Genomic DNA, 26,864 nt, shown 5'->3' on the forward strand with positions numbered 1-26,864 from the left:
GAATAGTGCATAATGAACTGGAGAAAGAGGTTGGGATCACATGTAAGAATCCATTATGTCATATTGAAAATTTGGAATTTTTTCCTGAAAAGATAAGGAGCTAATAAACAACTGTAAGACAAAAATAATCATTCAACATCTTATTTAGAAGATAATTAGTGATTGGGCATGATGGTTCATGCCTATAATCTCAGCTGTTTGGGGGGCCGAGGCAGAAGGATCACATGAACCCAGGGGTTTGAGACCAGCCTTGGCAACATAGCAAGATCCTGTCTCTACAAAAATTAAAAAAATTAGCCAGGCATAGCAGCACACCTGTAATCACAGCTACTTGGGAGGCCAAGGCAGGAGATCACTTGAACCCAGGAGTTCAAGGTTGCAGTGAACTATGATCTCAGCCTTGCATGCCTGCCTGGGTGACAGAACAAGACCCTGTCTAAAAAGAAAATAAAAAGAAGATGACTAGTTCTAGTGCAGAGTACAGATTGAATGCATACAGACTGGGGAAAGAGGGTTATTAGAAAACGGTTGCAGTAGCCTGGTAAAAGCTAATGAGGGCCCCATGTAAGGACAGAGCTGTGGGTAGCAGAAGATCTGCTGTGAGAGAGACTGAAGAGGAACAATCAATAGGACGTATTGCCTAGCTTCATGTATACTGGTAGGTAGAGAGGGGTGTTAAATATTCACCGAGCTACCCTGGTTGGGTGAATTAGTGAATGCAATTGCTATTCTCTAAGATATGAAATATATAAGGAGGAAGAAAGTTTATGGAATACAGAATACAGAAGAAGGAGAATGAGAGGGCTGAGGAATGGGAATAAGTCAACTTTTAGCTATGTTGAGAGGGAGATGCCTATAGACAGGTTCAGTAGTCACAGATGGAGTTCAGGACGAAGATCAAGACTAGAGTAAAAGTCATAAATTTTCTTAAGAGCACTCAGGAATGTGCATCATTCACCTTCTCATAAGAGGGAAAATCAAGACCACTGCTTGGCTTTAGAGATCAATTCCAGATGACACAGATTAGAGAACTCAGGGTAAGGATTAAATAATAAAACAATATTTGGCATAACATATGCAATTCTGGAAGATGTAATATTTACTAACAAAGTATGAAGACACTGATGTGCTTATTGCATTGTAAGTAGAGTTAACAGTCTGATTCTTCTCATTGCATTGATATACCCAAAGATCAAAATCTTGAGACGTCAAACTATAGTTTCATGACCAAATATGGATTTCAACACTATTAACAAGCTTTTTAAAAGTTAGATAGACAGAAAACTCAGAAACATTCATGATTCTTAAGGATTAGGGAAGGTGTTATACGCTTCATTAAGTCAAAAGTAGTTGACAAATGTTTAATATTGCACTATCAGATTAATTTCAAATATATTATATCAAAAGACATAAAATGTACGGAATTTTTATAATCCTGTTTCCTCTTCCTAATAGGATCACAGTTTTTCCCTTTCCTTCTTTCTTTTTATTTTTTTGTTGCTTATCAGTTCAATGTAAGATTCAAGGGTCAACATTTATAAATTTAAATGGTTTACAGTTTTCTCATGATCATTGGCTACTTGAACAATTGCTGTTAGAGGGGTCACATGGGAACTGACAGAAAAGCTCAGCAACGGAAGACTGGAGAAGCATACCTCAACATTTATAGAAAGGAAATATTCAAATAATATTTTTAAGTGGTAGGTTAGGCATCCCTATACAGCACATGACCTGTAAATAAGGAAGTATGACGAGACAGAAGAAAGTGGAGAAGCGAGATAATGATACATTGGGTAAATCCATAATTATGTAACCAAGGAATGTCCTCAAAGTCTTGTACACACAAACAGGTTAGACTGGTTATTCATAAAAATGTTTAATTTGCAAAATTATTTTGTGAGCAAACATCTCACTATCGTGAACGTTTGGTGCTTCGAAACAAATACAGAAACTTTTCATAATTGTTCATGTCCTTACTGGGAACAGTCCTGTCTCTATTAAGGCTTTACCCTCAGAACCAGAATCAAAAAATAGTTTTGTTTCTCCCAGCTGTCTAACCCTGCCCAATTTCTTCTCTCCTGTGCTGTCCTCCTTCACTATTTATGCTCAGGAACCCAGCTGTGCCTTAACCAAGAGTGTGTGGTGCGCTTAGCATGCTTTACACACCACATTTTCTTTCCACTTATATATTTCTGTCTTAGTCCTTCCTGCCAGCTTAACAACTCAAGATGGCACTGGCAGTTATTCCCAATTAAGCACTTTTTACAGAAAGTGAGAGGGGAAAGAAAATTACAGTCTGAAAGCTATATTGTTAGCCACGCCCATTACTACCCCTTCTGGCTGAACCGACGTAACACCTACTATTGTATTTTTTCTTTAAATTTATTTGAACCTCCGTTACACAGAATTGCGGTCATATTTATACGAGATCTATTTCCTTACACAGTATTATGACTGGTCTTGGAGAAAACACTTTTACTTCCTTGTTTGTTTGTTTATTAATAATAATAACAATAAGCGGCCATGAATCTACTACTCAACACAAGAAGTGACAGAGTGCCAGTGACTTCATCAACTCTGTACTCGTCCCCCACCCATTAGAAGCATTATGCCAAGTCTTATTTGTCACTCCCTTGCCTCTTTATATATAGTTTTATCCTATATTATTTACATATTTATCTCATGTATACACGTACATATGAATACTACTTATGTGTTTCAAAAACTATGTATTTGCATATGTCTATAGTTTAGTTCTGATTGTTTTCATTTTGTATCATGCAGTATAAAATTATCTGAGTCTTATTTTTTCACTTATAGTCTTGCTAATATATTCATATCATATCTCACTGTGTGAATATGCCATAATGTGTTCGTTCATTCCACTCTGATAGTCATTCGGGCTATTCCCCGCTTTTTTGTTTGTCTATTTTAGTTATGAAAGGCACTACACTGAACAACCTGGCACATGTCACCCAATATACATATAGCAAAAGTTTCTCCTGTGTATATGCCTTTAAGAGGAATTGCTGGTTTGTTCAATATGTGAATATCCAACTTGAAAAGATAATTACAAGCAATGTGTAGGAGATCCCATTAGGCCTCATCTTCTCTAGCACTTAATATTTTCATGAGCCTAAGTTAGATTTAATCTTAATGTGCCCACACTACCCGAGATCCCTTATTCTCCCATAAAAACAATTAATACATGTTCAGTTGGCAAACACGTAAGCGTTGGAAAGGTATGAATTGGCATCTGCCAACCTTAGAAGTATTGAGGCAGAATCTCCACCTTGGTCAGCCCTCCTCCTCTGAGATCCTGGAATCAATTTTCATCAAAGAAAAAGAACGTAACAAACCCATGCAACCAGACCATTGGCCCATCATTGGCTTAGAGCTGATCCTATTCCAACACAGTCACTGAGAGCTTTGTTTGCAGCATTATATATTGTAGCTCCTTTACTGTGGTTGAATTTTTAGGAGATGGATGAATGGATTTCTTGCTTCTGAATCCCAGGATCTCTCCTTTTAGGCCATTTCCCTACATTAGATTTTCACTGATCACTTGTTGTTTAGATTGTGGCTTTAGTGTCCTACTTGCCTTTCTCCCTACCTGTTTTCTCAGTAAGAGAGACTCATTTCTATTAGGTTGATGCAAAAGTAATTGTGGTTAACGGTAAAAACCGTGATTCCTTTTGCACCAATCTAATAAATGAACCTCCTGTGTCTTCATTCCAACTCTCACGACCTGTTGTCTTTTGTGATAATTGACTTCCTAAAAGAAAGAAGCAGAAGCTTCTGGACAAGTTAAGGACTACGCTTGGAAATGGCTCAAGGGTAACTTCTACTGCATTTTTTTGGTCAAAGCTACCACAGGCCCTTCTAGATTTAAGAGATTGTAGAAATAAACCCCATGTGTTGATGAAGGAGTATCAAGATCACACTGGAGAAGAGCATGTAGGATAAAGGATATCATCATGACCATCTTTGAAAAATACAATTTGCCACATTTGTCAAGAAAAAATTAATCTTTTTCATGTGTGTTTTCTAGAACTTGACTTATTCTTTTTGTTTTTTACATTGATTTTTACCTGTGAGCCCAGGGCTATTTTGCAAGGGGTCTGTGAAATAACATGCATACAAAATTTTGAGTAAGTAGGATAAAATTATATGACTTAAACACATAATTATTTTTAAAGTATATGTAGATGATTTGTGACTAAATTTATTATATATTTTTAAACAATCCATGTTAGAAATTCAAATAATATAAAAGAATCTGCAAATTTTTAATGTAAGAAGTGGGCCTCCATACTCAAAAGTGGTTCATTAAACATTGATACATTTATACCTTTGTCTCTTTTTACTAAATAGGGTGTTTACTGGGCACAAGGACTTATCTTGGTAACCTTTGAGTCCCTAAAATTTAGCAGATTAAGTTATATTTAGTAGGGGCTCAATAAATTTTGGCTTCACTTGGTTACAAACTTTACTTAAAAATGTAATCTCTACCATTATTTATACACTGAACAAATATATATGAAGCACTTACTATGTTACAAACACAATGGTAGATGCTAGGAATAAAATGGTGAGCAAAACCTGTTGATAGCTTAGAAGGACAGACAGATATTGATTATAGAATCACTCTAAAGATGTAAATTTTCTGTTGTTGTAAGCTCTTTGTATTAGTTTGCTAGGCTTGCCAAAATAAATAAATCACCACAAACCAGGTAGCTTAAGAAACAGAAATGTCTTGTCTCACAGTTCTGGTGCTAGAAGTCCAAAATCAAGGTGTCGGCAGGGTTGGTTCCTTCCGAGAGCTGTGAGGGAAAGATCTGTTCCGGGTCCCTCTCCATGGCTTGTAGATGGAAGTCTTCTCTCTGTGTCTCTTCACATCATCTTTCCTCAATGCGTGTCTGATTCCCCTTTTTATAAAGACACAAGTCATATTGGACTAAGGCCCACCCTAATGATATCATCTTAACTTGATTACCTATATTAAGATCCTATCTCCAAATAATGTCACATTCTTACAGTACTGGGGGTTAGGACTTGAACATATGAAGTTGGAAGGATGCAATTTACCCCAAAGATAAAGTTCAAAGCACTGTGAGAACTCATAATTGCAGGATTTGAGGTAGGGTGGCCCAGGAAATCTTTTTTTAGAGAGTGAAGCTGAGTGGAGACCTGGAGGATGAAAGGAAGTTTACTATGTAAAGAAGAAAGATAACACTTCTGGCCATGGATATAATACACGCTAAACCCCTCAGCAAGGGGCAGCATGGCAAATACAATGGCTAAAAGAAGGATAGCAAGGCTGGGGCAGAAGGGTGACATGATCAGATTTGTATATTTTAAAATGTGGGGAAAATCTGAGGCTTATGGTGATGTCATTTTTTTTCCAGAGAGGATTTATGTTTGTTTCTGTTGGGTGGCTGTGATTACCAGCAATCAAAAATTAATGCAATCTGATCAGGACTAGAGATGATTTCCAGACAGGCCCTTGGATCATTGGTTTCCTTCCAGTTTGCCCTTCTCCTGGGATGTACCTGTTTAGGGTCCTGATCTAAAACATAAGGGGTTTATCAGAACCTGCCCTCCTGAGCAAGGGGTGCGGGAGTGTCCCAGACTCCAAATTTTGTACTTCTAGTTTCATGAGTCTGTCAAAAATTCTACTGAAGTCCTCAGCCTCTCTTGCATTTGTAGATGCCTGTAGGCATGGCTCCAAATGCCAGGTCATCTCTCTGCGTCTCCTTTTCCTCTCAGTAGAGGTATTAGTTCAAATGACCTATTACACCATCACCCTAAATTACTGCTTGTGGAAAATAAATTGGAAAGAGGCAAAATGAATGCTGGTAGAATACACAGAAAATTTGATATTAGTTAAGCATAATGATTCCAATAACTAGAGGCAGAAAGGTGAAAATGAAAAGAGATGGGTAGATGGAAAAACATTGTAAGGTAGAACTGGCAGAACTGGGAATGGAGTATCAAGGAGAGACGGTGACTCCTAGCTTTCTAGTTTGAGCAACTGGATGGATGGCATATCATTCACTTACATAGGGAATATGTGGAGAGAATTGATGAGATGGGAGGCGATGATCGCAAGTTTCAATTCGGATCTGTTGATTTTGAGGTGCTTTGAGACATACAAGAAGCTGTATCACTTAAACATTTGCATGCATGAGCTCAAAAAACAGATCTGGATAGGAAATATACATTTTCACATCATCATGGATGGAGAAGACAGACTTGGATGGAGATTTGAGAAACTCCAATATTTGTCCGTCTTTGCAATGGTGAAAGAGGAAAAGTGGGACTGGCCAGAGACGTATGAAGAAAACCAGAAAATGAGAGAAGGTTAATGTTTCCAGAAGGTTTAGTTAACGGTATTGACTATTGTTGAAAATTCAAGTGTGATAATTATATACAGATGACTTTACCAAATACAGGTTGCCAGTGATGAGGTAGTAAACTACCACAGCCTATATAAAGCTACTGGTAGGGCAACACTCTAAAGCTTTAAAAAGACAAGAGATCAGAAAAAATTCTTCATGATCTCAGAATAGGCAAAGATCTCTTGAACAAGACATTTGTAATTGCATTAAAAATAAAATGACTATTGTAATTGCATTAATAATAAAATAAAAGATTGGTGAATATGGTTACATTAAAATAAACAGCTTCTCATACTCAAAATAGACTATAGCATTTAAGAAGCAAGACACAGAATGGAAGATATTTTTAATGTTTAAAAATGACAAAGACTCTATATTCAGACTCTATGAACAACTAAACAAAAGAAAAAGAAAGAAAAGAAAAAAGATAGGCAACCCAATAGAAAATGGGCAAAAGATCTAAACAGACACTTGGTGAAAGAGGAGATCCAAACAGCCAATCAATATATGAAAAAGTGCTCACTGCACTCCAGCCTGGGTGACAGAGCGAGACTCTGTCTCAAAAAAAAAAAAAAAAGTGCTCAACTTCTTTAGTAATTAAGCATATGCAAAGTAAAACTACATTCCTCTCCAACTTACCAGCTCCCACCCTCCCACTCCACAATAATGAAAAGTTTGAGAACATCAAGTGCTGGCAAAGATAAATTTTCAGAAGCTGCTGGTGTTACAACCAACTCTTGAAACAGTTTGGCATCAGAAAAGTGACGGTACATAAACTTTTGACCAGATATTCCACTTCCATGTATAGAACCCTTGAAAAAAAGTTATCATATATGTACCAGAATTCCTGCACACACACACAAATGTTATTTGAAGCATTGTTAACATATTCCCAGACCAGAAACAACTCAAGTGTCCTTTGACAGTAGGGCAGATAATCTGTGATCTTTCATTTAATGAAGAATCATATAGAAACAAAAAAAAAGATGACCTTAAGTTTACATGTAACCATATAAATGAATCCCACAATGTTGCCTTAGAGAAGCAAGATGCAAAAACAAACAAAACACACACACACACACACACAGTGTGATTCTAACTATAGGGTTTTAAAAAATGGGTAAATGGCGGGGCACAGTGGCTCATGCCTATAATTCTAGCACTTTGAGAGGCCAAGGTGGGAGAATCACTTGAGCCCAGGAGTTTGAGACCAGACTGGGCAACATAGTGAGACCCCATCTCTACAAAAAAACTTAAAAAATTTTTAATGGGTAAAATTAAAGTATATTGCTTAGAAATATGTATACCTAAAGGCTAAAATGTAAAAAAGCAAGAATGGGTTATCACAGAAGTCAGAATAATGTTTACGTCTATGTGAGAGGAAGAGGACTGTAACTGGGGAGGAGGTGGGGGGAGTTTTGGAGGAATGACGCTATTCTACTTTTTGACCAAAGTAGTGGTTATAAGGGATATAAGGCTATAAAGAATTGCTTTCTAATTATTCTGTAAGATATATATGTTTTATGTTCTTTCTGTTTGAAAATTACCTCACTATAAAAAAGTAAAAAAAAAAAAAACTACTTCTAAAATCATATTACTTAATCTTGAATAAATATTGCTATTTTTGCCACTGATACTTTTCAGCAGAAATTGAGTAAATCAATGTGATAAATGAGGCTGGTAAAATATGACCACACACAATGTGAGGCTAGTAAAACATAGCCTCACATGATGTTTCATTTTGCTGCTAAAAATTCCCTATATTTGTGGAATCAGATAAATATTTAATTTTTTTTTAATTTCTAGGTTGGCTCATTACAAGCATGCTTTCTTGCAAAGAGGAATTTCCAGATTGATGTATATGAAGCTAGGGAAGGTACGTCCATGGTGAAAAAAGCAGGATGAACGCTGGGCACGGTGGCTCCTGGCACTTTGGGAGGCCAGGGCACATGGATCGCTTGAGGCCGGGAGTTTGAGACCAGCCTGGGCAACATGGCAAAACCCCATCTCTACAAAAAATACAAAAATTAGCCTGGTGTGGTGGTGTGTGGTAGGAGGATTGCTTGGACCCAGGAGGCGGAGGTTGCAGTGAGGCGAGATCATGCCACTGTGCTCCAGCCTGGGTGAAAGGGCAAGACCCAAAGAAAGAGAGAGAAAGAGAGAGAGAGAGAAAGAAAAGGAAGAAAGAAAGAAAGAAAGAAAGAAAGAAAGAAAGAAAGAAAGAAAGAAAGAAAGAAAGAAAGAAAGGAAGGAAGAAAGAAAGAAAGGAGAAAGAGCAAGAAAGAAAGAGAGAAAGAGCAAGAAAGAAAGATGAAAAGAAAGAAAGAAAGATAGAAGGAAAGAAAGATAGAAAGAAAGAAAAAGAATTGCAGGATGTGGTTCTAATTCTTTGACTTTTCTTTAGATTTTCTGAACTTAAAAAGTTTCTTTAATAAAACGCTTTTCTTAAAAAAACTAGTTTTGTTTAAAAAAAAACACCAACTATCTAAATTTAATTTAATATAAAGTTACTGCTATTAGCATTTTCTTTAGAAGAGTTAAGAAGTTCTTTAATGTGGTTCCGAATGAACCAGTTGTTCAGATGCAGTAATTTTGCTCATCCTGAGCTAGGATATAAAGTGTGCGTAACATGGAGTCTGCTTCCAATGTCTCAGATACTCGAGTGGCTACCTTCACACGTGGAAGAAGCATTAACTTAGCCCTTTCTCATAGAGGACGACAAGCCTTGAAAGCTGTTGGCCTGGAAGATCAGGTACTTAATGTATCTTTCTTACAGAAGATAATACCTGGTATTTTTCAACAATTGCATGGTTTGATTTCATCCTGGCTTAAAAAGTACCATTTAATACCAAGAATCTCTGCATGAAAACTCATTCTACTAAAGCTTTTAAAATTCGAAATTTGGCAAGAGGGTGAACATTGGACACTCGAGGCACCCGAGGAGGACCCTGCAACCGGATGATTGCTTCTGATATTGGGTTCTCAACAGGATGGTGCGTCACTGCCTGTAGAAAGTGAGAGTCAAGATGGCATCCAGGATAAAAGGAGCCAGATTCCTTTTTTTTTTCAATTGCACAGGCCCGTAATATCTTATCTACAATTCTATACTCCAAAAAGACTCTGAAAATAGAAAGCTTCTCATCACTCATTGAGTAGCAAAATCTGACTTGACATGAGACTCTTTGTAGTCTTTTAAAAATCTCATTTAGCATAAATATGTTTTGCTACAGAAATTTTGTGTTTGATTATGGGGCGGGTTTATGTGATATCCAGCATATGTGTACTACACTACTTTCTAAAATTGAAAAATTCTGAATTCTGAAACCATCAGGCCCCATGGGTTTGGATAAAGAATGGTGGGCCTGTAGTAGATTTTCATCATGTGAGCTTAATGTTGTAGAACTTTTCACTGTCTATGTTAGCTTGGTAATATAAACAGACATGATAGATGTATTTTTCTTGATACTACTTTCAGTGACAATGTGTCTTTGAGCTGACAGTACTAGCAAATATGAGTGCTATTTGCATTCCTATTATTTTCTCCCAGATAGCAGCAGTCATGTGTAAGAAAACACTTTGCATTGAATGTTAGGAACCCTGGGTTTTACTCCTCATAATCTCCCTTTTTGTCATGATGAGAAAATCACTTAACCTCTGTAACAACAAATCACTTCCCTCAATCTGTGATATTCGATTTAGATCAGATAAATTTTAAGCCGGTTCTAAGATCTAAGATTAAAAAAACAAACTAAAAGCTTCAGGATCACCATTTTCATTGAAGGAGTTTCTACCACGTTGGGCTTCTATGGTCTTTCACAATTTTTAAAATTTCTTGGAGAATATATGAAATTACATTTAAAAATCAACTTCTATCTTTCTTGCATAATGCCATGTTACTGTCATTGAAGTCAATATTTCTGGTTTCATTTCAGATTGTATCCCAAGGTATTCCCATGAGAGCAAGAATGATCCACTCTCTTTCAGGAAAAAAGTCTGCAATTCCCTATGGGACAAAGTCTCAGGTAGGTTTACCCCGGAGATCATTGTGCATTGATTATAAGGAAGTCAAAGTCTGGAACTTGCCTCTTGTTTGATGGCCCCTCTCTCTCCAGCCCTATCTCTGACATTGCTTGGCTCAGTCTAGACCCCAGGAATACAGATACTAGTTGGCAAGTTTATTCAGAGGAGATGCTCAAAACAAGCCCCAGCCCAGAATAAACATTCAGGAAGAATTAGCTGTTACTGCTCTTATTGTGTCATTTCTTGCCTTTGCGCTGCCCTGCTACCTGGGACAGCCTTTCCTTCTTTTCTCCTTTTCAATTAGGTAGAGAAGATGACTATCTTATTTGTCGTCAAGCATAATGTACAAGAACAATCTAGAAGGTTTCATGATGTTGTTGCCCTTCCCTAACTCACCCTCTTGCTCAAAATTGGGCTTATAATAGAATGTATGGAATGATCCAGAAATGCTTTGAGTACTACATGATTTCTAAAAGAACAGAGGCCAGATGAAGATGGAGAGTTTATGAAAGGAGACTCATTATCCTGCTCTGTGCTTTCCCTATCTTTCACACAGTAACACACAGAACAGGGGGAAATATGTATTTGTATTTTATCTAATTAGACCTTCTGATTCTGTTTCTTGAGAGAGAATGAATGCACCAAACATCCATCGACAACAGAAAAACTCCAACTTCCTTTATTTTTATCCAGCCATGCCTCCTTTTATGAAGTGCAGCGTCTGAGTGAGAATTCATATTCTTCTAAGTCTCTGACCCTCAGCAGAGCTCTCATTGAAACTAGACCTGTGCTTCTCATACTCACCCGGGATCCTGTTAAAATGCAGTCTGATTCATTAGGACTGGGGTGGAGGCGGAGGTTCTACGTTTCTAACGAGCTTCCGGGTGTTTACTTCTTTCACTGAGTTGAGAGTGAAATCAACGTAATCGTCTCACTGTTCACTTGTATTAACAAGGAATGTCCTGAGGAAGGCCAAGTCATCATAGCCGCCCCCGCTTCAGAGACTGAACCAGTAATGTATCCATAGATAAGATACGGTTCAAATATCAGAAAAGCTAAATGAGGAGAGGGACTTGGAGATGACACCATCACCCCACCACCTTGTCTGTGTGTGTGTGAGTGTGAGTGTGTGTGAGAGAGAGAGAGAGAGAGAGAGAAAGAGCGTGCATACATTCCCCAAGAGAGTGAAAGCGTTGGTGTGAGTTCCCTTTTTGCGGCCTTCAATGCATTACAAGGAGGAAACGGCCCCTCCCGCATCATTCCTGCTACTTCTCAATTCTTAAGAACTCAGTTTATGCAAAATTTATAGGGGCCCCACATACTTCAGTTTTTCTTTATCGTCACTTTTATATCTCAGTCAAATATGGCGGCCTCCTTGCCCTTTAAGAACTGCATAAAATTGCTTTACCTGGTCAGTTCCACAGCCTGTGGGAGCACAAAGCCATTCCCATGACTCCGGGATTTCTTCACATCCCCGGGAGCCCACCTTCTCTTGGCCTCCTTTGCCTCTTGGTACCCCACTCCCTCTCACCTGGTATTGGCCGTGTACCATGGTGGTCCGGATTTGAAATATATCTCCTCCACCAATTCCCACAGACAACACTCACTCAAAAGATGCATGGGTCTGCTGAAGACCTACGGGTCATGAAGAGACCTCGTTGTGGATGGCACGGGCGATAATTTAGAAATCTCTAATCTGCAAATTTTGACCTCCAAAATCCTTTCTGACTCCCTTCCCTGGCCTCCCTCCTTCAGCTGTTTTTTCTTTTGAACTTTCTCCAATGTGATGTCCAGATTCTTCTTGTCTTGCTGGGTCCTCCCATCTTCTCCCCAAATTGCCCTGGAAACTGTCAAAATATTCTCTAATATACAGAGCAGGTCAGAGCTCCTCAGTTCTTAATCCTAACCTAACCTCTTATGCTCAAAATAGAGAAATGGCTCCCCCTTAGTAGAAAACATTCTCATTTGAAGGTATTGAGAATAGATAAAATAAACTTTTTTTCTAATATGTCTGAGGTAGTCAGTACTACAACTAATGTCTTACAGATCTCCAAAGGATATATCTAACCTTTTTTAGGTTTTACTATTATCTTTTTGGTTACAGAGGCCACTTTATAGCGCTTGACTTGTTTATTCTTATTTATTCTTCATCAGATCAATCTTGTAGAATTAAATATTGGAGAAGTAAGACTTGATGGGAACGACTCAAATATTTGGTTATGATATAATACTGTCCAAAGATATGGAGTAGACTAGAAAGGGACATTCTGGTGTTCCTGCAGGGATGACAAGTCTATCAGTTCCCAGATGACTGATGTGGAAAGAAAATATTTTCCCCATGTAAATTAATCTTCATAATTTGGGCCAAGCACAGTGGCTGACACCTGTAATCCCAGAACTTTGGGAGGCCAAGGTAGGTGGATTGCTTGAGCCCAGGAGTTCAAAACCAGCCTGGGCAACATGGCAAGACCCTGTTTCTATAAAAAAATTTAAAAATTAGCCGGGCATGGTGGCATGGGCCTGTACTCCCAGCAACTTGGGAGACTTAAGGTGGGAAGATCGCTTGAGCCCGGGAGGTTGAGGCTGCAGTGAGCCATGATCACACCACTACACTCCAGCCTGGGGAACAGCAAGACCCTGTCTCAAAAATTTTTTAAAAAATTAAAAATTAAAAAAGCTTTATAATTTGAATGTTTCCTAACATAATTTAAATAGCAAGTTTGATTTCTGTTGAAATACAGTCTATTAATAACCTAGCTTTGAGGCAGAGAATGAAGATGTTTCTGTTCATTTTAAATTATACAAAGACCAGAATTTCCTCTTCAGTCATTGCCACTGACCAAGTTATTTTTACACCAAGTATAGATTTAGCTGCCAATGTATACTTCTACTTTTGGATGAGGTGAAGATTTATAAATTAGTGTATATGTGTTAAAAATATTTGTTATGTCCCATAATTTGGAAAATTATATGCTTTAAAGTTTTAAAGAATAGATTCACCCTGAATTACCAGCTTGCATTATGACTTTAATGGGCCCCAGGTGGGCACTTTGGCCTCCATGGGCTCCTTTTCTAGAAAAAGGATAAATATTAAAAATTAGATTTTATGGGTTCATTGGTATAAAGATTAATAAAATCCAGGCCAGATTTATTATTACATATTTTTTATTACATAATACTTTTCTTTCCTTCCTTCCTTCCTTCCTTCCTTCCTTCCTTCCTTCCTTCCTTCCTTCCTTCCTCCCTTCTTTCTTTCTAGACAGAGTCTCACTCACTCTGTCATCCAGGCTGAAGTGCAGTAATGTGATCTCGGCTCACTGCAACTTAGGCCTCTCGGGTTCAAGCAGTCCTGCCTCAGCTTCCTGTGACTACAGGCACGCGCCACCAGACCCGGCTTGTTTTTGTATTTTTAGTAGAGACGGGGTTTCGCCATGTTGGCCAGGCTGGTCTTAAACTCCTGACCTCAAGTGATCAGCTTGCCTCAGCCTCACAAAGTGCTGGGATTACAGGGATAAGCCACCATGCCTGGCCACTTTTTTCCTCCTGATTTAAAAATAAACTAAAATCAAAACATTTTTACAATACGTTTAAGAGTCCATAAAAATGTTTTGATTTTAGTTTATTTTTAAGTCAGGAGGAAAAAAGTGGCCGGGCGCTGTGGCTCATCCCTGTAATCCCAGCACTTTGGGTGGCCAAGGTCGGTGGATCACCTGAGGTTAGAAGTTCGAGACCAGGCTGGCCAACATGGCAAAACCCCATTTCTACTAAAAATACAAAAAAAAAAAAAAAATTAGCTGAGTGTGGTGGCAGGCACCTGTAATCCCAGCTAGTTGGGAAGCTGAGGCAGGAGAATCACTTGAACCTGGAAGGTGGAGGTTGCAGTGAGCTGAGATCTCACCATTGCACTCCAACCTGGGCAACAGAGCAAGACTCTGTTTCAAAAAAAAAAAAAAGTATTGTACGCCCATAGGCGCTGTGTCTACCTTGCCTCAAGGGAGGGTCAGCTTTGCTGAATTGTCCTATAAAGTCAGAAACAACCAACACATGTTCCATGCAAGGACTGGTCCTATTCCTATCAATCTTCATCCCTGCCACAACCAACACACACACACACGCGTGCACACACACACACTTTTTACATTGAAATGAAATCCTTCAAAGTTGTCTCTTCAGGAAATAGCACTTTGATTCTAGTGATACTGTCATGACTGAAGTTTTTCTAAGAGCTAAATTTGGAGACCTAAGCTGAAAATATTACATTTATGATTTGTTTTTAAAACAGAACTCTCTTGATGAAAATTATATTTTAGCTACAAGAGAAGGATTTGATTTTTAAAGTATTAAACTTTGAAAAAGCCTAAGTGTAAACTTGGATATTGTATTATATGTGTTTGTTTAAAGTGATCTTTTTTAACAAAAAAATCAAAGGTCACTTAGCGAAATGGTTATAAAACTAAGCTTGCAACCCTCTGCTAAATAATAAATATGTTTTATTGCTGAGTGAATAACTTAGAATTATATTTGTCCATTCACCAGAAACAAACAGTATCTACTCTACTTTTCTTGCAGTATATTCTTTCTGTAAGCAGAGAAAATCTAAACAAGGATCTATTGACTGGTAAGTCTAATGTTTGATTCATCAGTTGTCATTTTGAGTAAAGCACATGACACTAATCTTGTCATATGATTTATTGGATTTGTTTGCTGCTCCTTTTTATGGGTTATGAAGAGCAAGACTATGTACACTACAAAGTCCTTCTTGAAGCTAGGTCTGATAGCTCATGCCTGTAATCCCAGCACTCTGAAAGGCTGAGGCCAGGATCGCTTGAGTCCAGGAATTTGAGACCCGCCTGGGCAACATGGAGAGACGCTATCACTACAAAGAATAAAAAATTAGCTGGGTGTAGAAGCGTGTACCTATAGTCCCAGCTACTCAAGAGCCTGAGGTGGAAGGATCACTTGAGCCAGGGAGGTCGAGGCTACAGTGAGATATGAGTGATGTGATTGTGCCACTGCACTCCCAGCCTGGGCAACAGAGTGAGACCCTGTCTCAAAAAAAGAAATAAATAAATGAAGTCCTTCTTGAAAATATCAATTGCCTAAAGTTTTTAGAGACGAAGTCTTGCTGTCACCCAGACTGATGTGCCATGGTGCAATCATGGCTCACTGTAACTTCGAAATCCTGTGCTCAAGCTATCTTCCCACCTTGGCCACCCGAGAAGCTGGGACTACAGGCACATGCTACCACATACGACCAATTTTTTTACATTTTTTTTAAAGGCAGAGTCTTTCTATGTTGTCCAGGTTGGTCTTGAACTCCTGGCTCAAGTGATTCTCCCACCTCAGACTCCAGAGTAGCTGGGATTACAGGTGCTAGCACCCACTTCACTGACAATTCTCTGAATTGAAATCATTTGTTCAACATATACTGAATCCCTATGGTCTCCTAGGCACTGAGTGAATGAGTGTTCACGCTGATGAAGAACTCACACTCTAATGGAACGACAGATAAACTCAAACAATTTGCAAAGTGACACAATTAGATTTGCCTTTTGGGCCAGGCGTGGTGGCTCACGCCTGTAATCCCAGCACATTGGGAGGCCGAGGCAGGCGGATCACAAGGTCAGGAGTTTGAGACCAGCCTGGCCAATATGGTGAAACCCTGTATCTACTAAAAATACAAAAAGAAAAAAAAAATTAGCTGAGCGTGGTGGCACATGCCGGTAATCCCAGCTACTCGGGAGGCTGAGGCAGGAGAATTGCTTGAACCCAGGAGGCGGAGGTTGCAGTGAGCCGAGATCATGCCACTGCCCTCCAGCCTGGCTGACAGAGCGAGACTCAGTCCCAATAAAATAATAATAATAATAATAATAATAAAGATTTGTCTTTTAGAGAGATGAAAAGCCATAGTGTGAAGACTGAGAAAGGGTTGCAATCTTCAAGGCATTTCCATAATCTCTGGGCACAGAAGGGCCCAAGAATAAAGCTATAGTAATGTGGCTGGAGAGTAGAGTGTAGATTCATGATATTTGTAAGAGAACAAATCGAGAGATAGGGGATATAGAAAGTTGAGAAAGAGAAAGGTGTAAATAGAACCCTGAAGTTGTGAATTTGTGTAACTAAAAAAAGCCTACGTGTTCATGGAAAAGCCACTGGATTACAAATTAAATTTGTGGTTTGCGTAGTTGATCCAGTCACACACCATGTATCCCTTACTAAGTCTAAGCCTACACTGTAGTTGCTTTTCCTCCCTTCAGCATTTGCATTCAACGGATTTATTCCCAGCAAAGCATGCCACTTAATATTTCTACTATCTTTTAAACTAGTCCCTCGTGATGGAGCCCAGTAGACTCTGATTTTTAAACAGAGACTGTACATGATTTATCTTTGTTTCTCCACAATCTCCTCAATATATCTACTGAATGTAATTGAACGTAATGGGATTCAACTGGGAGGAGGAGGCCTATGAGGAATTTCACTTTAGTTGATTCACCAGATACAAGAAAGAGGGTTTAGTATTATTATTAATTGTATTTCCTTAGTTATATTTGTCAGACTGCCTTTTGGATGGATAGATGGGTGGAGTGGAGCCAGTTTGCTAGGTATATTCAGGTTGATCTCAAGAAAGCAAATGAACCAGCCGGGTGCGGTGGCTCACATCTGTAATCCCAGCACCTTGGTAGGCTGAGGAGGGAGGATGGCTCGAGCCCAGGAGTATAATTGCATCACTGCATTCCAGCCCTGGTCCACAGAGCAAGACATCAACTCTAAAAAATCAAAACAAAACAACAACAAGAAAACTCCACAAAACAGCTTTTACAAAAAGCAGTACAGCAGACCTATGACACTGTCTTTCAAAAATCCTCTCAATCTATCAAGATAAAACTAATAGCAAACATTCATCGAAGCACCAAGCTGTATCTTAAGTGTTTTACATGCATAGATTTGCATAACCCTTTCAACAACTCTATGAGGGGGAAATTACTTTTATTTCCGTTTTATAGATGGTGAAATGGAGGCTTAGAGAGCTTGGATCACACTGTTAGTAAGTGGTAGAATCTGGATTTAAATCTGAGTCTGTTTATTCCAAAGCCCATGCTTTTAATTATTATGACTTCTGCCTCCAATATTATATATAAAACATCTGCTAATACTAAGGAACTTAAAACATGGGAAAGGTACAATCTTGGTGTACACACCAGAAGTTCCCCAAATTGTCTTTCACTAGGAATGTGCTGCATGGCACACAATTTCATAAATGCCATAAATACATCAATAAAATGAACGCTGAATCTCTTCACTCTTAAACTTTGTTGGGCATATAAAGTTCATTCTTTCTTTACGAGGCATCAAATGTGGGAGGTTTTCATTCCACACATTTAATCAATTGTAAATTCTCATTTCTCCCTAACTGCACAAACTCCTCTCTGAAAACATTGTTGCTACATGATTTCCCTACGTCGGCATTTCATGCGGGATTGTTTCACGGTTCATCTGCTATTCTGTGAGATGTTAATAATTATTAAGCCAAAGCAAACAGACAAAGGATGTGTGGCCAAATAAGTCTGACAAACCTTGCATCAAACAAGTTTTCAGTCTTTTTTCTTATAGTACTTCTCAGGGCTTTTATTATATTCTTGGTCTGCATTGTGGATCTTCCAGAGCAGCACAGTCCAACATGTGGCCACAAATACCAGGCACGTGTATACTTTTCCAATTTATGCTAACCATGTTAAAAAAAAAAAAAAGCAGCAGGTGGTGTTATGTTTAATAAGATATTTTAACCTAGGCCAGGCGCAGTGGCTCACACCTGTAATCCCAGCACTTTGGGAGGCCGAAGGGGGTGGATCACCTGAGGCCAGGAGTTGGAGACCAGCCTGGTGAACATGGTGAAACCCTATCTCTACTAAAAATATAAAAATTAGCTGGGCGTGTTGGTGGGCGCCTGTAATCCCAGTTACTCAGGAGAATCTCTGGAATCCTGGAGGCGGAGGCTGCAGTGAGCTGAGATCATGCCATTGCACTCCATCCTGGGCGACAAGAGTGAAACTCTGTCTCAAAAAAAAAAAAAAGATATTTTAACCTAATATATCCAAAATATTATTTCAATATGTAATCAATATCAGAAAGTTATTCACTGTCATTCTTTTTATATATACTTGTTCTAATTTGCCAAAATCCCATACAGGCAACACATCTCAATTTAGGATAGCCACACTCCAAGTACTCAAACACTACCTGTGGCTGGACACCAGGGCAGCATAGCCCAAGACAGAGTATTCAGCATTACTCTAGTCTTTGGCAATGGAACAGTTTTTTTAGGGAGTATATCCCAGGAGTAACGTTCTACAAAAAATTATTTAGGATGCAAAATACTATATACTTATGTAAAAAATAAACATAATTTTTTAAAAGTTTTTTTCACAAACACATGTTATGTTTCTAAAATATATCCTTAGTATATCAGGTCAATTCTGATTACTTCAAAGTTATTTGCCAAACTACTTCTTCTACATAGATGAATTTCTTTGGTTTAGGGTCTCTCAGATTTTGCAAGAAAGTTAAAATCTTCAAACCCCAAATCAAACTGAAACAAAAAAGAGTAAAATAAGACAAGATTGAGATGAAGAGAGGAGATAAGTACAGGCAGGAATAGAACTCCTGCCTTATTTTCCCCATTTTTTTCAAATTCAACATTCTTTTTATTTACGTTTTTGACATATAAAAACTGTACATAATTAATGTGTACAACTTGATGAGTTTGGTCCTTAATTTTTTCACTTTGTGTGATCTCAGGCATTTTACCTTTACTTCCAGAATCTTAGTTACTCCTTTTTTAAGATGAAGGATTTTGAACTAAATCATCTCTGAAGTCTATTCCAGCTCTAACACCTGTATTCTGATTTATACCTTTAAGAACAATAAATAGGCTATATTTATAGATGAATACATGAGCATTAATAGGGACAAAATCACATTTTACTGTTGTAACAAGGGCATAATTAATAGTTCATAAATTGAAATTCACTCAATTCTCTAGAGTGCTAGCAGGCAAAACAGAAAATTACGAAAATAATTTGTTTCAGTTTATTGAGAGGTTTCAAAGCTTCTTACTCATTTTCCCCCTAACTATTCCAGTGTTTGATTTCAAAGAGATTTAAAATCAACAATCTCTATTTGTGACAACTTCAATCAGAATTCCAGAAAACTAGCTAAAAAGAGATATAGAGACATGCGTAATATGAGGAAAGGAGTTTGACTGAATATTTCCAGTCACAACAAAGCCTCGGATTAGAGGCGACTTCTGAAATATGTGATGCTTGCTTCTTTCCCAGGGTGCTAATAATTACAGCAATGCAAGAGTTTGCACAATGGAATCAGTTGGATGTTTTCTTTTTGAGATGAGGATAATTGATTTTTATTCATCTGTTTTACTACCAAATTATACTGAAATAGTTACCAAACAGTTGTCAAATTACCATTTAAGTGAACTTATTTTTACATTGTTATGAATAAAATTCTCTACCATACTGTTCCCAGAAAACAATTACTATTTCAATTTGATTAAGTGAAGTAAGAATTGAGATTTCATTTCTGTTTGCCTCTTTCTCCATTTCCTCAGCTGCTGAGAAATACCCCAATGTGAAAATGCACTTTAACCACAGGCTGTTGAAATGTAATCCAGAGGAAGGAATGATCACAGTGCTTGGGTAACTACGGGTCAGGTTTTGGACTTCAGAGGTGAAAGCTGGGAGTGGAGAATTGTATCTGCAAACTTTGTTCTTTGGCTCTTTTGAAAGAGTTAAAAGATTATTGAAAGGATCATCCAAATAGTTTCTAGATTCAAGGAATTTTAGATTGCAAATAGGCCCTGATGGCCATCTGAACACCAATGCCAATAATTCTTAATTCTCACACTTGCTCACCTTCCTACTGTACTGTATTCCACACTGGTGACTCTAATGTGCTTCAAACTCTCTCCTCTCTCAAATATACGTGACCCTCCACTGCTCTCCTCCTGTTCTCTTTCCAGGTGCTATTTCTCTGCCTTTCCTTGGATGATTCTATTTCCTCTAAGGTTCCAAGCCTCATATCCCACTCTTGCGATATGCTATGGATCCACGCTCATGGGTTCAACAACCACATCTCTAAGATGAACATTTCCAGTCCAAGCCTCTTTCTTCATTCTAAATCCTTATAGAAGCTCAAATCAATTTATGTTAACTTCTCATCAAACATCCTTGCTGGAACATCTTGCCATTATCTCAAACATATCTAAAACCTTGATCACCTACTTCTCCCAAATCACATCCCATTCCTGACTTCCCCAGAACTAATGCCTGAATAATTTGAATCATTCATGATGTGTTCTTTCCCCTGTCCTCTCCCATTAAATCTATAACACTCCCCAGTCTATCCTACTTTCTACTGGCTTCAGAGTCTGTCTTCCTCCTTCTAGCTGCAGGACAGTACTTCCGGCTCTCATTCCTGCACATGTAATATAATGTGTTGCCATCACCTCATCCCTGTTTTCTGCTCCCTTTGGCATTCGGCCTTCTCTTCAAACTGCCAAGGAAGTTTTCTTAAATTGCAACTCTTCATACATCATTCCCCTAATAGATAATTTCAGTTTCCCTTTTGCCAGAATAATGTTTTAAAATCTTTTATCTTGACATTCAAGATTCTCTTCTTTTCCCCTTCCTTTCTCTCCCTACCTTGTATTCTTTTCTTAAGCTTTTCTTCTAATACCTGTGCTCAAGACAAATGTATTGTTCTTAGAAAATCCTGTGGTTGTTCATACATTCATTCGTACACTTGGAACACTTGCCCTGTTTTCAAGATTCTCCTCCTTCATGCAGAAATCTCAAATCCTGTCACACTTCTGTGGCCTACCAAGTCTTTATTAATCAATATGGTGTTGTGCTATTCTCATAAGCAAACTTATGACTGGGACAAGTGTTTTCATCTAAATGTTACATCTATTAACTCAAAGCTCCAAGTCAAACATGTGAAAGTGAGCTTTCTAAGTTATCTATGGAGCCACTACTTCTCATACCCAGAGGTACATCATCATTTTCACCACTAGACATATTTTTCTTTTGGATGTTTTGTTCTATTTTTCAGATCTGACAAAGTTCCCAAAGATGTCACTTGTGACCTCATTGTAGGATGTGATGGAGCCTATTCAACTGTCAGATCTCACCTGATGAAGAAACCTCGCTTTGATTACAGTCAGCAGTACATTCCTCATGGGTACATGGAGTTGACTATTCCACCTAAGAACGGAGATGTAAGTCCTTGCCCTTTTTCAACCCCTTCCCACAACCCTTGCTCCATGAGCGCGAATGCGTATTCTAGTGCAGTGGTTCTCAGCAGCATGTCTTGATCCATTTTGAGGCCTATCACAAGAACTTTGTAATGAAGAATAAATGGGATGCATGGGTATCTTTTTAACAGCACGATTCTCAGTCCTTCCTTGTTTGATATGCTTTCTGGAGTGAAAAAGAAAGGAGCAGTCTGGGCACAGTGGCTCATGCCTGTAATCCCAGCAATTTGGGAGGCCAAGGCAGGAGGATCGCTTGAACCCAAGATATCAAGACCAACCTGGGCCACATAGGGAGACTCTGTCTCTGTAAAAAATACAAAAATTAGCCAGGGATGTGGCACACGCCTGTGGTCCCAGCTACTCGTGAGGCTGAGGTGGAAGGATTGCTTGAGCCCAGGAGGTCAAGGCTGCAGTGAGCCGAGATCATGCCAATGCACTCTATCCTGAGCAACATAGCCCAATCCTGTCTTGAAAGAAGGAAGGAAGGAAGGAAAGAAGGAAGGAAGGAAGGAAGGAAGGAAGGAAGGAAGGAAGGAAGGAAGGAAGGAAAGAAGGAAGGAAGGAAGGAAGGAGACGGGAAGGGAAGGGAAGGGAAGGGAGAAGTTACAACCCTCTTACTGGAAACACATAAAGGATTTAAATAATATCGTTTGTCTATGTTCTCTTGGGAGAAAAAAACAGGTTGATGATGAATCCTTCAGTATACTGACAATCCAGAGTTCTTATAACCATGATTAAATCAAATAATAGTTATTAAATAAAATGACTAGAAAATTGTTGTAAAGTGATTTCTATTGTGTTTTTCTCATTTCCTGGTTAAACCATATGTGACTGGAGGCAAATAAGTGGTATGTAATGTTTTCATGTTGTCATAAGCAAATAAGTGTAGGAACTTGTTAAGAAAAAATTGCTAACAGAAACAATAAGGATATTGGCTTATAAGTATGGATATGCAAACAACATTAAATACTTGATTTGCATATAAAGCATACATTTTTAAGATGCTGATTTAATCTATCCTCTTAAATCCAGACAAGGGTAAAACAGCTAGTCAATATGGGATAGTGTTGTTAAATACTAAATATCAGCCAGTAAAATCCATATTTTCACATTTCATTACCTTTCTGTTTCATCCTCATGGTCAAAATGTATTCGCTAATTTTTTAGTGCTTATTGTACTGGTTTTCAGATAGCTTCTGCTCTCATGGCCCAGAATCTGATAACTCTGGATATAGGATAACAGAATTCTGTTGAAAAATTGTTCCAGACTTAAGAAGAACTGTGCTTGCTAAAGTAGATTTAAGAAAGCCCTTTATTTTCTAGGTATACATAATAAATAGTAATAATTGATGGTTTTAAAAAATGTCTCCACTCTTTTAAGAACATTGTTTAGGCATGGCAATGTGACTCAGACATGGGAGCATTTTGACATGGTCCAAAAACAAGCTTATGAGACTTTCTCTATTTTTCTTTGTGTCTTTTTTTTCTTTTGTTCTTCATGTAATGTGTGAAATAGACACTTGCACTCTTCTGATGGTTGGAGTTGGGGGCAAGAGATTGGGTAAATGGCTTTCTACCACTAGTATTACTGTTAAAGCGAAGTAATTGCTTTTCATATGTATTCCTCTTGCCTATTGGACTGCACTGTAAGGTCAAGAGTTATGCACGTACTCATTTCTGTGTCTGTGTGTTGGGCTTTCTTTGGGAGTCTGAGGCTAAAAAAACAAGGAAGACACAGTCCCTTCACCTAAGACACAAATAACTATGATACAGTGTAAAAATGTTAGCTCCAAGACTATGCTGTTTTTTTGGTATTCTTACTCTGTAAGCTATACATGGAAGGTGCTCTCAAAACATCTGTAGAAAATAATACAAATATGAAATAATTGGAAAGTTGATTGCATATTTCTATGTATATAATACCCCTGGGAACCTTCAAAAATGTGCGTCACTTGGGTCTTTGGGTCAATTGATCTACCCAAGCAATTAATACTTATTCAGGCTGTTATTGTATTAATAGTAATTACAGAGGACCCACTAAAGAGATAAGACTCTTCTCTATTATTTATGTTATAGGAAACAAACGATAAGAAGCTTGTTTCTAAAATTTTGGTTTGGCTCATGAAATTTAAATGTAAGACCTTTTTGTCCAGTATAGATAAGTTCTGAAATAAGGCAAAAGATAAAGTAAAAAATATATATATAAATATATAATGTATGTGCATACATTATATATGTGTGCATATACACACATGTACACATCTAGATATGTGCATGTGTGTGTACATATATACCAGGTATAATTATACCAGCTATGATTCAAGATTTGAGAACATAAGATGTTCTCTCTGTCTTTTTCCTTACATATACACACACACGCACGTATTCTGAAATCTTGAAATATACCTGGTATCAAAAACCTACCTAAGGTTGAGTTTATAAAGACAGAACACAAAGTGTTTTCTAAGACAACTTCTATTTTATGTAGCAATAGATGTGCGTATCATCGTGTAGATGCTACTGGTTTTAATTACTGTGGAAACTATTATAAAGCTGAGTCCGTTTTATAGGTTTGCTATATGAATGCACTAATCAATCATATATTCTTTTTTCTGCAGTATGCCATGGAACCTAATTATCTGCATATTTGGCCTAGAAATACCTTTATGATGATTGCACTTCCTAACATGGTAGTATAGAATTTTTTATCAACTGTAATTTTGCATTTGTAATTAATGTTGTTTATTACTTACATTTGTACTTAGAATGTATCTACCTAATTGATCTCTTCATTGTTTAATCCATTTAGTGATTATAGCTTTGAAACTTTGGGATTACTGAGGAAAAATCTGAAGGATTTCCAATTATTTACTTTGGAAAGGAGATTTAACTTACATGAATGGATAACAAGAGTTTATGTGTGGTGGTGCCTGTCATCTCCACTAAAGACAATTTAGGAGGAAACAGCCCTTCCAGTAAAGCCAAAGAGATTTAGGTTATCTATCAGGAAGTGATTCAGCCTTTAAGGTCTGTAGTACATTGGAATACGCATTATCAAAAGAGAGCATGGGGATGGGCGCAGCGGCTCACACCTGTAATACCAGCACTTTGGGAGGCCAAAGCGGGAGGATTGCTTGAGCTCAGGAGTTCAAGACTGATGTGGCCAACATAGCAAGACCTTGCCTCTACTAAAAAAAAAAAAAAAAAAAAAATGCCAGGCATGGTGACACGTGCATCCCCAACTACTCAGGAGGCTGAGGTGGGAGGATTGCTTGAGCCCCGAAGATGGAGGCTGCAGTAAGCCGTGATCATCCCATTGCATTCCAGCCTGGACAACAAAGCAAGACCCTGTTTCAAAAAAAAAGAGAGCATGGCTTTTCTTTCATTAGACCCTAGAGACTTTTTTCCTAGGTAGATATAGCTGTTTCTCTGGTTGGGGTCTTTTTTGTTTCTGTTGGTATCTGTCCTGGGGTCCAGGGCCTAGTAATACAATCCTAAAAGGAAGAAAAAGAGATGTCAAATCTAACCAACCTATTAGTAATTTAAAGACTGTAGGCTGGGCGTGGTGGCTCATGCCTGTAATCCCAGCACTTTGGGAGGCCGAGGTGGGTGGATCACCTGAGGTCAGGAGTTCCAGACCAACCTGCCCAACATGGAGAAACTCTGTCTTTACTAAAAATACAAAAAATTAGCCGGGTGTGGTGGTGGGTGCCTGTAGTCCCAGCTACTCAGGAGGCTAAGGCAGGAGAATCGCTTGAACCTGGGAGGCAGAGGTTGCGGTGAGCTGAGATTGCCCCACAGCACTCCGGCCTGGGCAACAGAGTGAGACTCTATCTCAAAAAGAAAAAGAAAAAAGAGTGTAGTATTTGCTGTGTGAAAATGGAGAGTTTACAATATAGAAATTGTCCGAATAATCAAAGAAGCTGGAGAGCACCCCTGGGACTTTGCAGAGCTTTTCTTTGGGAGCAGGGGAACAAAGTGACAGTGCCTTTCCTGTCTGCTTGGACATTCCTTCCAAAAGCTCCCTGGTCACAGCAAGAAGTCTTGTGATTTCAGGAGCCACCTAGTGCCAGCGTCACTTGGCCCCCATCCCCTTTCACTCTGTTTCTCTTCTTCTCACAGAACAAATCATTCACATGTACTTTGTTCATGCCCTTTGAAGAGTTTGAAAAACTTCTAACCAGTAATGATGTGGTAGATTTCTTCCAGAAATACTTTCCGGATGCCATCCCTCTAATTGGAGAGTAAGTTGCAAGATGTGCCTTTTGCTCCATTTGTTTTAATTATTCCAAATTCAAATAAAGGTTATGCACCTGATTTCAGTTTGGGTTAAACACGATGGATCATGCAGTAACCTGGACAGAAACCTACATTAGAGCAAAAGTCTAAGTGGATATTGTGCTGTGAGCAGGAATTCTGAAAAACACCCTTGACGTGGCCAGTTCCTCCGGGAAAGATGAGCCACCAATGTCCCGAGGCTTTTGGGCATCTTATGCAGGCTCCTCAGGCTCCTTGGGGCTTGGCGTGCCACAGGAACTGGCTGAACTTTTTTCTACTGGTAGATACACAAATCTTTGGCACAGCAGATACATCCGGCAGCCTCAGATCTTGGATCCTACACTTACTAGACACGTAAGCTTTCCCATATTCCACTCGTGGGAAAAGGTTGATAAATAATAGAACCTATCCCAAAGGGTTGTCATGAGGACTAAATGAGATCGTGTCTATAAATCATTCAGCACAAGGCTTAGCGCATATTAAGTTGTCTCTCTAGACACCTCCAATGATGTCTTCATGAAGGCAGCGCAATGCTACAGAGAGCATGCCTTAGTCAGTTCAGTGAGCCATAATAAAACTACCATAGACTCGGTGGCTTATACATGACAGAAATGTATTGCTCGCAGTTCTAAAGGCTGAGAAGTGTAAGATCAAGGCACTAGCAGATTCGGTGTCTGGTGACGCCCCACTTCTTGGTTCATAGATGACAGTCTTTTTACTGTGTCTTCACATGCTGGAAGGGGCATGGGATCTCTCTGGGGTCCCTTTTATAAAAGCACTAATCCCACTAATGGGGGGTCCACTCCCAAGACCTAATCACCACCCAAAGGCCCCATCTC

The 26,864-nt window shown here is 38.6% G+C and overlaps 1 protein-coding gene across 2 annotated transcripts in view; it reads left to right on the top strand.

Annotated features, from left to right (window-relative positions):
- The window catches only part of KMO (kynurenine 3-monooxygenase), a 63,265-nt gene that overhangs the window by 8,244 nt on the left and 28,157 nt on the right, over positions 1-26,864 (top strand). For both annotated transcript variants that reach the window (NM_003679.5, NM_001410944.1), the window contains exons 2-9: positions 8,208-8,277; positions 9,056-9,153; positions 10,334-10,423; positions 14,991-15,039; positions 20,044-20,131; positions 21,546-21,711; positions 24,366-24,437; positions 25,870-25,991. In NM_003679.5, coding sequence (NP_003670.2) covers positions 8,208-8,277; positions 9,056-9,153; positions 10,334-10,423; positions 14,991-15,039; positions 20,044-20,131; positions 21,546-21,711; positions 24,366-24,437; positions 25,870-25,991 — 755 coding nt within the window. The remainder of the gene's footprint in view (positions 1-8,207; positions 8,278-9,055; positions 9,154-10,333; positions 10,424-14,990; positions 15,040-20,043; positions 20,132-21,545; positions 21,712-24,365; positions 24,438-25,869; positions 25,992-26,864) is intronic.

Source organism: Homo sapiens, chromosome 1 (assembly GCF_000001405.40).
Source record: "Homo sapiens chromosome 1, GRCh38.p14 Primary Assembly".
NCBI lineage: Eukaryota > Metazoa > Chordata > Mammalia > Primates > Hominidae > Homo > Homo sapiens.